Source organism: Homo sapiens, chromosome X (genome assembly GCF_000001405.40).
Source record: "Homo sapiens chromosome X, GRCh38.p14 Primary Assembly".
Lineage (NCBI taxonomy): Eukaryota > Metazoa > Chordata > Mammalia > Primates > Hominidae > Homo > Homo sapiens.
In genome coordinates, this window is record NC_000023.11 from 98,420,607 (window position 1) to 98,434,390 (window position 13,784).

A 13,784-nucleotide genomic window follows, 5' to 3' on the forward strand; every position below is an offset into this window, starting at 1 on the left:
ATGATTTGAGACTCAAAACTTTTAGAAAATATTGTTATTGAACTGCCAGCAAACGTAAGGATATTCAGCAGGTTTAGTGCTTGATTGCACGATGAAGGGGGTAAGAAGTAATTATTGTCAAATTAAAATGGATTGACTTTGGTCTCATGTCATTTCTTATCTAATGATTTAATATAACATATAGTTGTAAAGGAAAGCAGCATTATGTCATTCACATTTTGCAAAATTGAACTGTCCCTAGGCTACTTTGGAAGGGACAACTGCCTAAAGTTTCCTTTTTTCACACAAGATAGTCCACCACCCCATCAGCAAATTATTTTAAATTAATTTGTTCAGCATGAAAGGAAATAAGAAGACATGGAAACCACTCAAGGAATATGAAATTCAATCCAATTTCCCATTTTGTGAGCACCTATGATGCTGCATCTATAAGCACCTATGAGCTGTTATGGTGGAAATGTATTGAGAATCCAAAGAGAAGAAGACATAATTCCTGCCCACAAAAATCTTATAATCTCAAACTGAAAGGAGAAAGGAGAACTACAGAGTACACAATATTTAAAATACTCATATTTAACTAGATAAGCAGTGGGGGAGGGGGAGAGAAAGAGAGAGACAGAAAATGTAGCCTTTCCACTATTTAGTGTGCAATGCCCTATGATTAGCATGATAATGGAGGATAGGAAACTGAAATTCCATAGTCACAGTCCCCACTTAACTGTTACAGGGTGAACAACCCTCTGTGCTGAGTGTGATTCTTGGGTTTAAGGTTTATATTTTTTGTACAATCTGGTTCCTACATGCAAGTTAATTACTTTATCTACTGTTCAACCTAAGGGATAAACTTCCTGAGACATTTCTTTTCAAAATTAATTTGAAACTATATGAGTTTTTTATTTTCTTCTTATATCTTTAGAACCTTACTCTCAAGTGAGGTTTGATTCTGCTGTTTAACTAACTAGGAATATGATCATAATGGAGTACAAGAGGGATTAAATTCTTTCCAGAGGTGGGAAAGTGAAGGTTTCAAAAAGGATGTGGCCTATGAAGAGTAAGATTTCAAGAGACAGATTTAAAAAAATGCTATTATAGGCAAAGTGAGTAGTCAACCCCTATGCAAATGTATAAAGCATCCAATGTGTGACAAGTATGGACAATGTAAGTAGACTGGAGTAGGTAGTGAATAAGGCATTTGAGGGCAGTCATGAGAGGTAAGGCTAAAAAGCTAGGTAGAGTTAGGTAGTGATAGTTCTAAGAAATACAGCCTTTGCTCTGTAGGTGGTGGCAGTCAGCGAAGGTTGTTAGTGAAGTGATATCATACTTGTGTTTTAGAAAGGTAATTCTTAGCTGCTACCTCATGCCTCTGGCCTGGCAGAAGTTTCTTCTTGTTTTCCAGAAAACCACAAGAAGAGAGTATAGACAGCCATTGCAGTACATTGAGCTCCATAGAGATAGCAGTGAGGCAAGCAAGAGAGAGCTAGATGGGCAATGGGTGACTCTGTGTCTTGCTGAGCAAAAATAACTAAATGTGGGCAAAGGAGTTCCTAAGAAGCTGAGAGGCACACTGTCATCATATGCATTCTTTGCAGACTTGTTGGGAGGAGCACGAGAAGGAGTACCCAGATAGTTCAGTCAACTTTTCAGTTTTCTTTTTTTTTTTTTTGCCTTCTGTTTTTTGAGAGACGGATATCACTCTGTCACCGAGGCTGGAGTGCAATGGCGTGCTCTCGGTCCACTGCAACTTCTCCGAGTTTCCAAAGAAGTGCTCTGAGAAGTGGAAGACCATGTCTGTGAAAGAGAAAGGAAAATTTGATGACAGAAAAGACAGACAAGGCCCTTTATGAAAGAGAAGTAAAAACATATATTCATCCTAAAGGGGAACCAAAAAGAAGCACAAGGATCCCAATGTACTCAAGAAGCATCCTTCAGCCTTTTTCTTGTTCTCTTCTGAATATTTGCACAAAATCAAAAGAGAACACCCCAGCCTATCTGTTGGTGATGTTGCAACAAAACTGGAAGAGGTGTGGAATGACACTGCTGCAGATGACAAGCTCCCTTATGAAAAGAAGGCCATGAAGCTGAAGAAAAAATACTAAAGGAAAAATGCTAAAGAAAAGCCTGATTCAGCAAAAAAGGGAGTCATCAAGGCTGAAAAAAAGCAAGAAAAACAAGGAAGAGGAGGATGATAAAGAAGATGAAGATGATAATCAATAAGTTGGTTCAGGCAGATTTTTTCTTCTCTATAAAGCATTTTACCTCCCTGAACATAATTTACTCCTTGTAAAGAAAAAATGGAAATTTCCAGCTGTCTAGGATTTGTTTTTAAACTGTACAGTGTCTTTTGTGTATAGTTAACACACTGCCAAATGTGTCTTTAGATAGCCCTGTCCTGGTGGTATTTTCAATAGCCACCAACCTTTCCTGGTATAGTATAGGGGCTGTAAATTGGCAAGGAAATTTAAAGCATGTTCTTGTTGATATACACCACAAATTAGTTATATATGATGAAATGGTTTGGCTTTATGTCCCCACCCAAATCATCTCGAAATGTAATCCCCAAGTGTCGAGGGAGGGACCTGGTGGGAGGTGATTGAATCATGGGGGCGGATTTCCCCCTTGGTGCTGTTCTCTTTATAGTGAGGGAGTTATCATGAGATTCAGTTGTTTAAAAGAGTGTGGCACCTCCCCTCTCTCTCTCTTCCTCCTTCTGGGGCCATGTAAGACATGCCTGCTTCCCTTTCACCTTCCACCATGATTGAAAGTTTTCTGAGGCTTCCCCAGCCATGCTTCCTGTACAGCCTGCAGAACTGTGAGCCAGTTAAACCTCTTTTTTTTTTTTAATAAATTACCCAGTTTCAGGTATTTATTTTTAACAGTATGAGAATGGACTAATATACCTTCCTTATGATTTTCTTAATAACATTTTCTTTTCTAGCTTATTTTATTTTTATAAGAAGTTTATGATACATATAAAAACTATTTTTGTAAAAATTACAGTTTTTACTGTATTTTATAAAAATACAGTACTATATTTTGTAAAAAACTGTATTATTACAAAAAACTATTTTTGTAAGAATGCAGTTTATGATACACATAACATACAAACTATGTATCAATAAACTGTTTATGTTATCGACAAGGCTTCTGGTAGACTAAGCTATTAGTAGTTACGTTTTTGCAGTGTCAAAAGTTATACACAAATATTCAACTGTGTGGGAGGTCAGCATCTCTAACCCCCATGTTGTTCAAGGGTTAGCTGTATTTTGTGGGAACAGTTAAACTACAGACACCCAGGTATTCAATGGCCAAAAAGGATACAGGTGAGCATGGTACCATTTATATATTTTTGCCATGCTTCTCGGGACAGGGAATAATAGTGACAGTGGCATTTGAGCACTTCTGTGAAAGAATGAGTCCTTCTTGAACAGAGGGAGTAGGAGCTACACGTGCTAAAACAGAAACCTAACATAGCTGGAAGGGGTCCTAGTGACCATCTAGCCCAAGGGTACACAAATTATGACCTGCAGGCCAAATCTGGCTATTTCTTATACAGCCCTAAGAGTGATTTTTATATTTTAAAAGGGTTGTAAAAGTGTGTGTGTTGGGGAAGGGGGGTGGATATATGTATGGGATATATACCTATACATGTGGTCTGCAAAGCCCAACTTAGTTTTCATCTGATCTTTTAAGAAAAATTACCATAGTCTAATTTTTTTTTCTTCTTTTTTTTTTATTATACATTAAGTTTTAGGGTACATGTGCACATTGTGCAGGTTAGTTACATATGTATACATGTGCCATGCTGGTGTGCTGCACCCACTAACTCGTCATCTAGCATTAGGTATATCTCCCAATGCTATCCCTCCCCCCTCCCCCCACCCCACAACAGTCCCCAGAGTGTGATATTCCCCTTCCTGTGTCCATGTGATCTCATTGTTCAATTCCCACCTATGAGTGAGAATATGCGGTGTTTGGTTTTTTGTTCTTGCGATAGTTTACTGAGAATGATGATTTCCAATTTCATCCATGTCCCTACAAAGGACATGAACTCATCATTTTTTATGGCTGCGTAGTATTCCATGGTGTATATGTGCCACATTTTCTTAATCCAGTCTATCATTGTTGGACATTTGGGTTGGTTCCAAGTCTTTGCTATTGTGAATAATGCCGCAATAAACATACGTGTGCATGTGTCTTTATAGCAGCATGATTTATAGTCCTTTGGGTATATACCCAGTAATGGGATGGCTGGGTCAAATGGTATTTCTACTTCTAGATCCCTGAGGAATCGCCACACTGACTTCCACAATGGTTGAACTAGTTTACAGTCCCACCAACAGTGTAAAAGTGTTCCTATTTCTCCACATCCTCTCCAGCACCTGTTGTTTCCTGACTTTTTAATGATCGCCATTCTAACTGGTGTGAGATGGTATCTCATTGTGGTTTTGATTTGCATTTCTCTGATGGCCAGTGATGATGAGCATTTTTTCATGGGTCTGTTGGCTGCATAAATGTCTTCTTTTGAGAAGTGTCTGTTCATGTCCTTTGCCCACTTTTTGATGGGGTTGTTTGTTTTTTTCTTGTAAATTTGTTTGAGTTCATTGTAGATTCTGGATATTAGCCCTTTGTCAGATGAGTAGGTTGTGAAAATTTTCTCCCATTTTGTAGGTTGCCTGTTCACTCTGATGGTAGTTTCTTTTGCCGTGCAGAAGCTCTTTAGTTTAATTAGATCCCATTTGTCAATTTTGGCTTTTGTTGCCATTGCTTTTGGTGTTTTGGACATGAAGTCCTTGCCCATGCCTATGTCCTGAATGGTAATGCCTAGGTTTTCTTCTAGGGTTTTTATGGTTTTAGGTCTAACGTTTAAGTCTTTAATCCATCTTGAATTGATTTTTGTATAAGGTGTAAGGAAGGGATCCAGTTTCAGCTTTCTACATATGGCTAGCCAGTTTTCCCAGCACCATTTATTAAATAGGGAATCCTTTCCCCATTGCTTGTTTTTCTCAGGTTTGTCAAAGATCAGATAGTTGTAGATATGCGGCGTTATTTCTGAGGGCTCTGTTCTGTTCCATTGATCTATATCTCTGTTTTGGTACCAGTACCATGCTGTTTTGGTTACTGTAGCCTTGTAGTATAGTTTGAAGTCAGGTAGTGTGAGGCCTCCATCTTTGTTCTTTTGGCTTAGGATTGCCTTGGCGATGCGGGCTCTTTTTTGGTTCCATATGAACTTTAAAGTAGTTTTTTCCAATTCTGTGAAGAAAGTCATTGGTAGCTTGATGGGGATGGCATTGAATCTATAAATTACCTTGGGCAGTATGGCCATTTTCATGATATTGATTCTTCCTACCCATGAGCATGGAATGTTCTTCCATTTGTTTGTATCCTCTTTTATTTCCTTGAGCAGTGGTTTGTAGTTCTCCTTGAAGAGGTCCTTCACATCCCTTGTAAGTTGGATTCCTAGGTATTTTATTCTCTTTGAAGCAATTGTGAATGGGAGTTCACTCATGATTTGGCTCTCTGTTTGTCTGTTGTTGGTGTATAAGAATGCTTGTGATTTTTGTACATTGATTTTGTATCCTGAGACTTTGCTGAAGTTGCTTATCAGCTTAAGGAGATTTTGGGCTGAGACAATGGGGTTTCCTAGCTGTACAATCATGTCGTCTGCAAACAGGGACAATTTGACTTCCTCTTTTCCTAATTGAATACCCTTTATTTCCTTCCCCTCCCTAATTGCCCTGGCCAGAACTTCCAACACTATGTTGAATAGGAGTGGTGAGAGAGGGCATCCCTGTCTTGTGCCAGTTTTCAAAGGGAATGCTTCCAGTTTTTGCCCATTCAGTATGATATTGGCTGTGGGTTTGTCATAGATAGCTCTTATTATTTTGAAATACGTCCCATCAATACCTAATTTATTGAGAGTTTTTAGCATGAAGGGTTGTTGAATTTTGTCAAAGGCTTTTTCTGCATCTATTGAGATAATCATGTGGTTTTTGTCTTTGGCTCTGTTTATATGCTGGATTACATTTATTGATTTGCGTATGTTGAACCAGCCTTGCATCCCAGGGATGAAGCCCACTTGATCATGGTGGATAAGCGTTTTGATGTGCTGCTGGATTCGTTTTGCCAGTATTTTACTGAGGATTTTTGCATCAATGTTCATCAAGGATATTGGTCTAAAATTCTCTTTTTTGGTTGTGTCTCTGCCCAGCTTTGGTATCAGAATGATGCTGGCCTCATAAAATGAGTTAGGGAGGATTCCCTCTTTTTCTATTGATTGGAATAGTTTCAGAAGGAATGGTACCAGTTCCTCCTTGTACCTCTGGTAGAATTCGGCTCTGAATCCATCTGGTCCTGGACTCTTTTTGGTTGGTAAACTATTGATTATTGCCACAATTTCAGCTCCCGTTATTGGTCTACTCAGAGATTCAACTTCTTCCTGGTTTAGTCTTGGGAGAGTGTATGAATCGAGGAATTTATCCATTTCTTCTAGATTTTCTAGTTTATTTGCATAGAGGTGTTTGTAGTATTCTCTGATGGTAGTTTGTATTTCTGTGGGATCGGTGGTGATATCCCCTTTATCATTTTTTATTGTGTCTATTTGATTCTTCTCTCTTTTTTTCTTTATTAGTCTTACTAGAGGTCTATCAATTTTGTTGATCCTTTCAAAAAACCAGCTCCTGGATTCATTAATTTTTTGAAGGTTTTTTTGTGTCTCTATTTCCTTCAGTTCTGCTCTGATTTTAGTTATTTCTTGCCTTCTGCTAGCTTTTGAATGTGTTTGCTCTTGCTTTTCTAGTTCTTTTAATTGCGATGTTAGGGTGTCAGTTTTGGATCTTTCCTGCTTTGTCTTGTGGGCATTTAGTGCTATAAATTTCCCTCTACACACTGCTTTGAATGCGTCCCAGAGATTCTGGTATGTTGTGTCTTTTTTCTCGTTGGTTTCAAAGAACATCTTTATTTCTGCCTTCATTTCGTTATGTATCCAGTAGTCATTCAGGAGCAGGTTGTTCAGTTTCCATGTAGTTGAGCGGTTTTGAGTAAGATTCTTAATCCTGAGTTCTAGTTTGATAGCACTGTGGTCTGAGAGATAGTTTGTTATAATATCTGTTCTTTTACATTTGCTGAGGAGAGCTTTACTTCCAAGTATGTGGTCAATTTTGGAATAGGTGTGGTGTGGTGCTGAAAAAAATGTATATTCTGTTGATTTGGGGTGGAGAATCCTGTAGATGTCTATTAGGTTCGCTTGGTGCAGAGCTGAGTTCAATTCCTGGGTATCCTTGTTGACTTTCTGTCTCGTTGATCTGTCTAATGTTGACAGTGGAGTGTTAAAGTCTCCCATTATTAATGTGTGGGAGTCTAAGTCTCTTTGTAGGTCACTCAGGACTTGCTTTATGAATCTGGGTGCTCCTGTATTGGGTGCATATATATTTAGGATAGTTAGCTCTTCTTGTTGAATTGATCCCTTTACCATTATGTAATGGCCTTCTTTGTCTCTTTTGATCTTTGTTGGTTTAAAGTCTGTTTTATCAGAGACTAGGATTGCAACCCCTGCCTTTTTTTGTTTTCCATTTGCTTGGTAGATCTTCCTCCATCCTTTTATTTTGAGCCTATGTGTGTCTCTACACGTGAGATGGGTTTCCTGAATACAGCACACTGATGGGTCTTGACTCTTTATCTAATTTGCCAGTCTGTGTCTTTTAATTGGAGCATTTAGTCCATTTACATTTAAAGTTAATAGTGTTATGTGTGAATTTGATCCTGTCATTATGATGTTAGCTGGTGATTTTGCTCGTTAGTTGATGCAGTTTCTTCCTAGTCTCGATGGTCTTTACATTTTGGCATGATTTTGCAGCGGCTGGTACCGGTTGTTCCTTTCCATGTTTAGTGCTTCCTTCAGGAGCTCTTTTAGGGCAGGCCTGGTGGTGACAAAATCTCTCAGCATTTGCTCGTCTGTAAAGTATTTTATTTCTCCTTCACTTATGAAGCTTAGTTTGGCTGGATATGAAATTCTGGGTTGAGAATTCTTTTCTTTAAGAATGTTGAATATTGGCCCCCACTCTCTTCTGGCTTGTAGGGTTTCTGCCGAGAGATCCGCTGTTAGTCTGATGGGCTTCCCTTTGAGGGTAACCCGACCTTTCTCTCTGGCTGCCCTTAACATTTTTTCCTTCATTTCAAGTTTGGTGAATCTGACAATTATATGTGTTGGAGTTGCTCTTCTCAAGGAGTATCTTTGTGGCATTCTCTGTATTTCCTGAATCTGAACGTTGGCCTGCCTTGCTAGATTGGGGAAGTTCTCCTGGATAATATCCTGCAGAGTGTTTTCCAACTTGGTTCCATTCTCCCTGTCACTTTCAGGTACACCAATCAGACGTAGATTTGGTCTTTTCACATACTCCCATATTTCTTGGAGGCTTTGCTCATTTCTTTTTATTCTTTTTTCTCTAAACTTCCCTTCTCGCTTCATTTCATTCATTTCATCTTCCATTGCTGATACCCTTTCTTCCAGTTGATTCCATCGGCTCCTGAGGCTTCTGCATTCTTCACGTAGTTCTCGAGCCTTGGTTTTCAGCTCCATCAGCTCCTTTAAGCACTTCTCTGTATTGGTTATTCTAGTTATACATTCTTCTAAATTTTTTTCAAAGTTTTCAACTTCTTTGCCTTTGGTTTGAATGTCCTCCTGTAGATCGGAGTAATTTGATTGTCTGAAGTCTTCTTCTCTCAGCTCGTCAAAGTCATTCTCCATCTAGCTTTGTTCCGTTGCCGGTGAGGAGCTGTGTTCCTTTGGAGGAGGAGAGGCGCTCTGCGTTTTAGAGTTTCCAGTTTTTCTGTTCTGTTTTTTCCCCATCTTTGTGGTTTTATCTACTTTTGGTCTTTGATGATGGTGATGTACAAATGGGTTTTTGGTGTGGATGTCCTTTCTGTTTGTTAGTTTTCCTTCTAACAGACAGGACCCTCAGCTGCAGGTCTGTTGGAATACCCTGCCGTGTGAGGTGTCAGTGTGCCCCTGCTGCGGGGTGCCTCCCAGTTTGGCTGCTCGGGGGTCAGGGGTCAGGGACCCACTTGAGGAGGCAGTCTGCCCGTTCTCAGATCTCCAGCTGCGTGCTGGGAGAACCACTGCTCTCTTCAAAGCTGTCAAACAGGGACATTTAAGTCTGCAGAGGTTACTGCTGTCTTTTTGTTTGTCTGTGCCCTGCCCCCAGAGGTGGAGCCTACAGAGGCAGGCAGGCCTCCTTGAGCTGTGGTGGGCTCCACCCAGTTCGAGCTTCCTGGCTGCTTTGTTTACCTAAGCAAGCCTGGGCAATGGTGGGCGCCCCTCCCCCAGCCTCGCTGCCGCCTTGCAGTTTGATCTCAGACTGCTGTGCTAGCAATCATCGAGACTCCGTGGGCGTAGGACCCTCCAAGCCAGGTGCAGGATATAATCTCGTGGTGCGCCGTTTTTTAAGCCTGTTCGAAAAGCGCAATATTCGTGTGGGAGTGACCCGATTTTCCAGGTGCGTCCGTCACCCCTTTCTTTGACTCGGAAAGGGAACTCCCTGAACCCTTGCACTTCCCAAGTGAGGCAATGCCTCGCCCTGCTTCGGCTCGCGCACGGTGCGTGCACCCACTGACCTGCGCCCACTGTCTGGCACTCCCTAGTGAGATGAACCCGGCACCTCAGATGGAAATGCAGAAATCACCCCTCTTCTGCATCGCTCACGCTGGGGGCTGTAGACCAGAGCTGTTCCTATTTGGCCATCTTGGCTCCTCCCCCTACCATAGTCTAATTTTAACCTTTTCATATTATAGGTAAAAACTAAGGCTTATTTATTCAACGTATACCTACCTACATACATATATACAATGACCTCTGAGCATTCAACCTAATGCCACTGAACTAATTTTATTTTCCAAATATTTATATTAATTTTATTCAGGAAATGAGGGAAGGCCAAATTTGATTACCCTTAAAAGTCAGGCATGTTCCATGGCACACGGTACAGTACACATGTGTTACATTTTGTCTCACCTCCCACTCATTTATTTTATGGTAACAGTACCTTACAATACCCTTGGGGAATCATTGATCTATATAGTTTAATTGGAACTGATCTCACCAGTCCTCCGGGATAGGGTTATCTTATTGGCCTAAGGCAATGAAGACATCCCATGCCTCTGGCCACAGTGATTGGATTAGGGATGGGCATACGCCCCAGTACAAAGGACTGATAATCAGACCCAATTCTTTATGTTAGTCCTTTTAGAAAGAGGAATATTCACTCTCTTTCCTGCTGGGTTTGAACATGGAAGCAAAAGTCCTGGAAATATGGACACCCACACACCATACAATCGGAACATGAGAATGAAGTCAACATAAAGGATTGAGAAACTGTAAGACAGAGTCTGGTGACATTATTTGGAACCGCTGGATCAAGCTGTACCTGAAACATATTGATTAGGGAGACCAATACATTCCTTTTTAATTAAGTTTGTTTCAGCTTGGTTTCCTGACATTTATAACCAAACTGCAACCCATGGGCAAAATCCAGCTCACTGACTGTGTTTGTATGGCCCATGAGCTAAGAATAGTTGTATTCATTTTTAAATGATTGAAATAAACAAGAAAAACAAAAGACAAATATTATTTTATGACACATGAATATTATGTGAAATTTAAATTTCAGTGTCCATAAGTACAGTTTTATAAAAACACAGCTACTCATTCATTTATGCATCATCTGTTTCTGTTTTTGTGCTACAGTAGCAGTGTTGAGTAGTTGTGACAGAGACTTTATGGACAGCAATGTCTAAAATATTTATAACTGAAGCAGCTGACTCCCAAAAGTTTTTTTGGTAGTTTTTTTTTTTTTTTTTTTTTTGAGATGGAGTCTTGCTCTGTCGCCCAGGCTGGAGTGCAGTGGCGCGATCTCAGCTCACTGCAAACTCCGCCTCCCAGGTTCACACCATTCTCCTGCCTCAGCCTCCCGAGTAGCTGGGACTACAGGTGCCTGCCACCACGCCTGGCTAATTTTTTTGTATTTTTAGTAGAGACGGGGTTTCACCGTGTTAGCCAGGATAGTCTTGATCTCTTGACCTCGTGATCTGCCCTCCTCGGCCTCCCAAAGTGCTAGGATTACAGGCATGAGCCACCGCGCCCGGCCTGTTGTTGTTGTTTAAGGTTTCTGTTGATCTCCTAGGCAGACAGTAATGGGGTGCATTGAAATTTGTGATTCTATCTAGGACCAAAGAGTTGAAGTGCAATCAGAGACAGAGAGGTAGGGGTCACTTCTAACCACTCAGGGAATAATTCAGTAGGTACATAATTTATTCACTATCAGGTAGGAGAAATTGTCAGTAAGAACAGAGAATCTGAGTAAGTCATTAAATGTGATCAGGTGAAATGTTTTCTATGTGAAGCCTCGGAGAATCTATCTTATATCACCAGCTGTAAAGGTAGGGAGTGAAAAGGGGAACTAATTCATTTCCTATAATACATTAGATACCATCCTAGATTTTATTTTTATGTTATGTTTGACTCATCCTCAAAACAATCATATAAGCTAGGTCATATTATTATTCTACTTTTATGATGAGAAAACTGAGATTTTGCCTTACTTTATTCAGCTAGAGAATACCAGAGCTGAGATTTGAACACAAATCTATTGGGTTCCCAAATGCATGCTTTTTGTGCTACATCATGGGTTGGAAGAATCTGAGAATGAGAAAAACAAAAGAATTCTAAAAGTACGAGGATTGTAGGAAACTGAGTTAGAATATTCTATTTGGGAGCTTCATTAAACAAGAATTACAAACTGATGGAAGAGAGTCCTTTTCCAGTAAGAGGCAGCACTTTTGAGAGTGAAAATGAGCACTATAAGTAATTATGCTGGGCCAACAGAATTAATCTGAGCTTGTCTTGGGCTAACCAGAATATATGGTGACCCTAATTAGTAATAACAAGGGCCATCTGATGATAGGCGGAGTCATGACAATGAAGTGGTGACAAATGACCAGATTATATCAAGGTCAGCTGACATCATTGGAGCAGAGACTGCATTGGGATGGAGGAGATAAATGAATGCTAGCAGCTGCTCAGGACAATTATAGTGCCAATCCTGGAAAAGGCATAAGACACCAAGCTACCCAGCTACCTTGCTAGGGTGGTAAGGGAAGGACTTGAGGGGATTGGATTCTGGGCATTTTTATTGAGATCAGAGTTAGAAATTACTGTCACTATAACTCAGCCCCCCATTAGAATCCCCCAAGCTGTGGAATCGGAGGTTAAACTTACCACCAGGAATATTCCTTTTCCTTTTTAAGAGCAATGATCAAAAAGACCAGTGTAGGTTTGCAGCTCCTAGCTAGCTTGCAGGTAGCTATTGTGTGGATCCCTCTGAGACATACCTGGTTGGGCTTCTCTGAAGAAGTAGCTGAACAATAGCAACTCTCATGTTGCCTTTCTTCTCATTCCAGACATACTTTCTAGTTGGTCCCAGCCTTGTACCTGCCTATAGGGAATTGCATCCTCATTACTGCCTCACATGGTTTTCCAAGGCAAACAAAAACAAGGTTTCTATTTAGCCTTTCCTATTTTATTTCTTTCCTCTTTTGATGGTGTCAATTTTCTGTCCCTCATCTTTAGCCTTTGCCCCAATTCCTGTCCTGCTGTCTGATCTCTAATATAGTTGCTTTATTAGTGGGTGCCATTTTGAAGATGTGGAAACGAGCTTTTCTATTTTTCTGAGGATGTATTTATAATCAAATAAGGTAGCAACAGGGATAAAGATGTTCACTTTACCCATGTTTCCCTGCCTGTACCCCTGCTTACACAAGGTTTTTTTTAATCTGTAAATATTTTTTTGTGTGCTATCAAAACTCATAATAAATTGTAGAACTTGACAGCTGCACATTTATTGGCAAACACCAGTTTGAAAGGATGTGTCCCTAGAGGATCAGTCTTGACAGTGTTTTTGACCAACACACATTGAAACACTGGTACAGACATCAGTCGACTACAGCCAAGCTCTATTCATGGATTGTGCTGATTCTGCACACACACACCTTCACCCTCCATGACCAACTATCATTTGTTTATTCACTCCAAGTCTCATCAGCCTGTGCACTGCTTCCCTGATAGATGCAAGACAGCATCTTACATACTAACAGCATCGTGTATAATGCCCAGATTTGATATGCTTTTACCACGAGGTCCCACAACCTGAAATTTAAATGTGACAATGTTATTATGTTATAGTTTGTCTTGAAAAACCACATACTTCTGGATAGACAAGACAGGCAATCTTGTACTTAGGGTATTTGGGTGTTTCTTTCAAGTACCTTGTCAGGAGATACTGCAGGGAAAAAGTGAAGAACCAGAGCTGATATGGGGGTACAAAGTCAGTCCTCTAGGCAAACAAAATTGCTTGTTTTTTACCACTAAACAGCATTTAAAAAAAAAAAAAAACAACAACACACTAAAAAAACAGCCCAAGCAGACACACAGGAGACTTCTTCATATGCAACATAAAGGATAGCCAGGAGAAAATCATGATTCTGCAACTAACGTACTACTCTAAATGGAGGGCAGTAAAATGCTGCTAAACTTTATAAAACTCATGTTGCATTGGCTTTCTTTCTCAAAGGAATCACAGAGATTACTTTTCCGGAAGCACTTTCCTTCCTTTTGCTTTACCGTGACTTAATGTGCAGAAAGGGAATTGTGTCCATTAATGATGTTCCTACTTCCAATCAAATTGTGGTTTCTAGATTACTGTTTCCTCCTAGTTTTCTCTAATTAAGTGGCATCT

The 13,784-nt window shown here is 40.1% G+C and overlaps 1 pseudogene, besides 2 other annotated features; it reads left to right on the forward strand.

The window, feature by feature from the left end:
• Positions 1,529-2,136, forward strand: HMGB1P32 (high mobility group box 1 pseudogene 32; annotated as a pseudogene).
• Positions 8,882-9,466: an enhancer, noted in NCBI's record as "H3K27ac-H3K4me1 hESC enhancer chrX:97684486-97685070 (GRCh37/hg19 assembly coordinates)". NCBI's record gives its function as "activates a minimal SCP1, AML or CMV promoter by ChIP-STARR-seq in primed H9 embryonic stem cells {active_cell/tissue: H9 hESC(primed)}" and the evidence as "EXISTENCE:reporter gene assay evidence [ECO:0000049][PMID:30033119]".
• Positions 9,467-10,049: an enhancer, noted in NCBI's record as "H3K27ac-H3K4me1 hESC enhancer chrX:97685071-97685653 (GRCh37/hg19 assembly coordinates)". NCBI's record gives its function as "activates a minimal SCP1, AML or CMV promoter by ChIP-STARR-seq in primed H9 embryonic stem cells {active_cell/tissue: H9 hESC(primed)}" and the evidence as "EXISTENCE:reporter gene assay evidence [ECO:0000049][PMID:30033119]".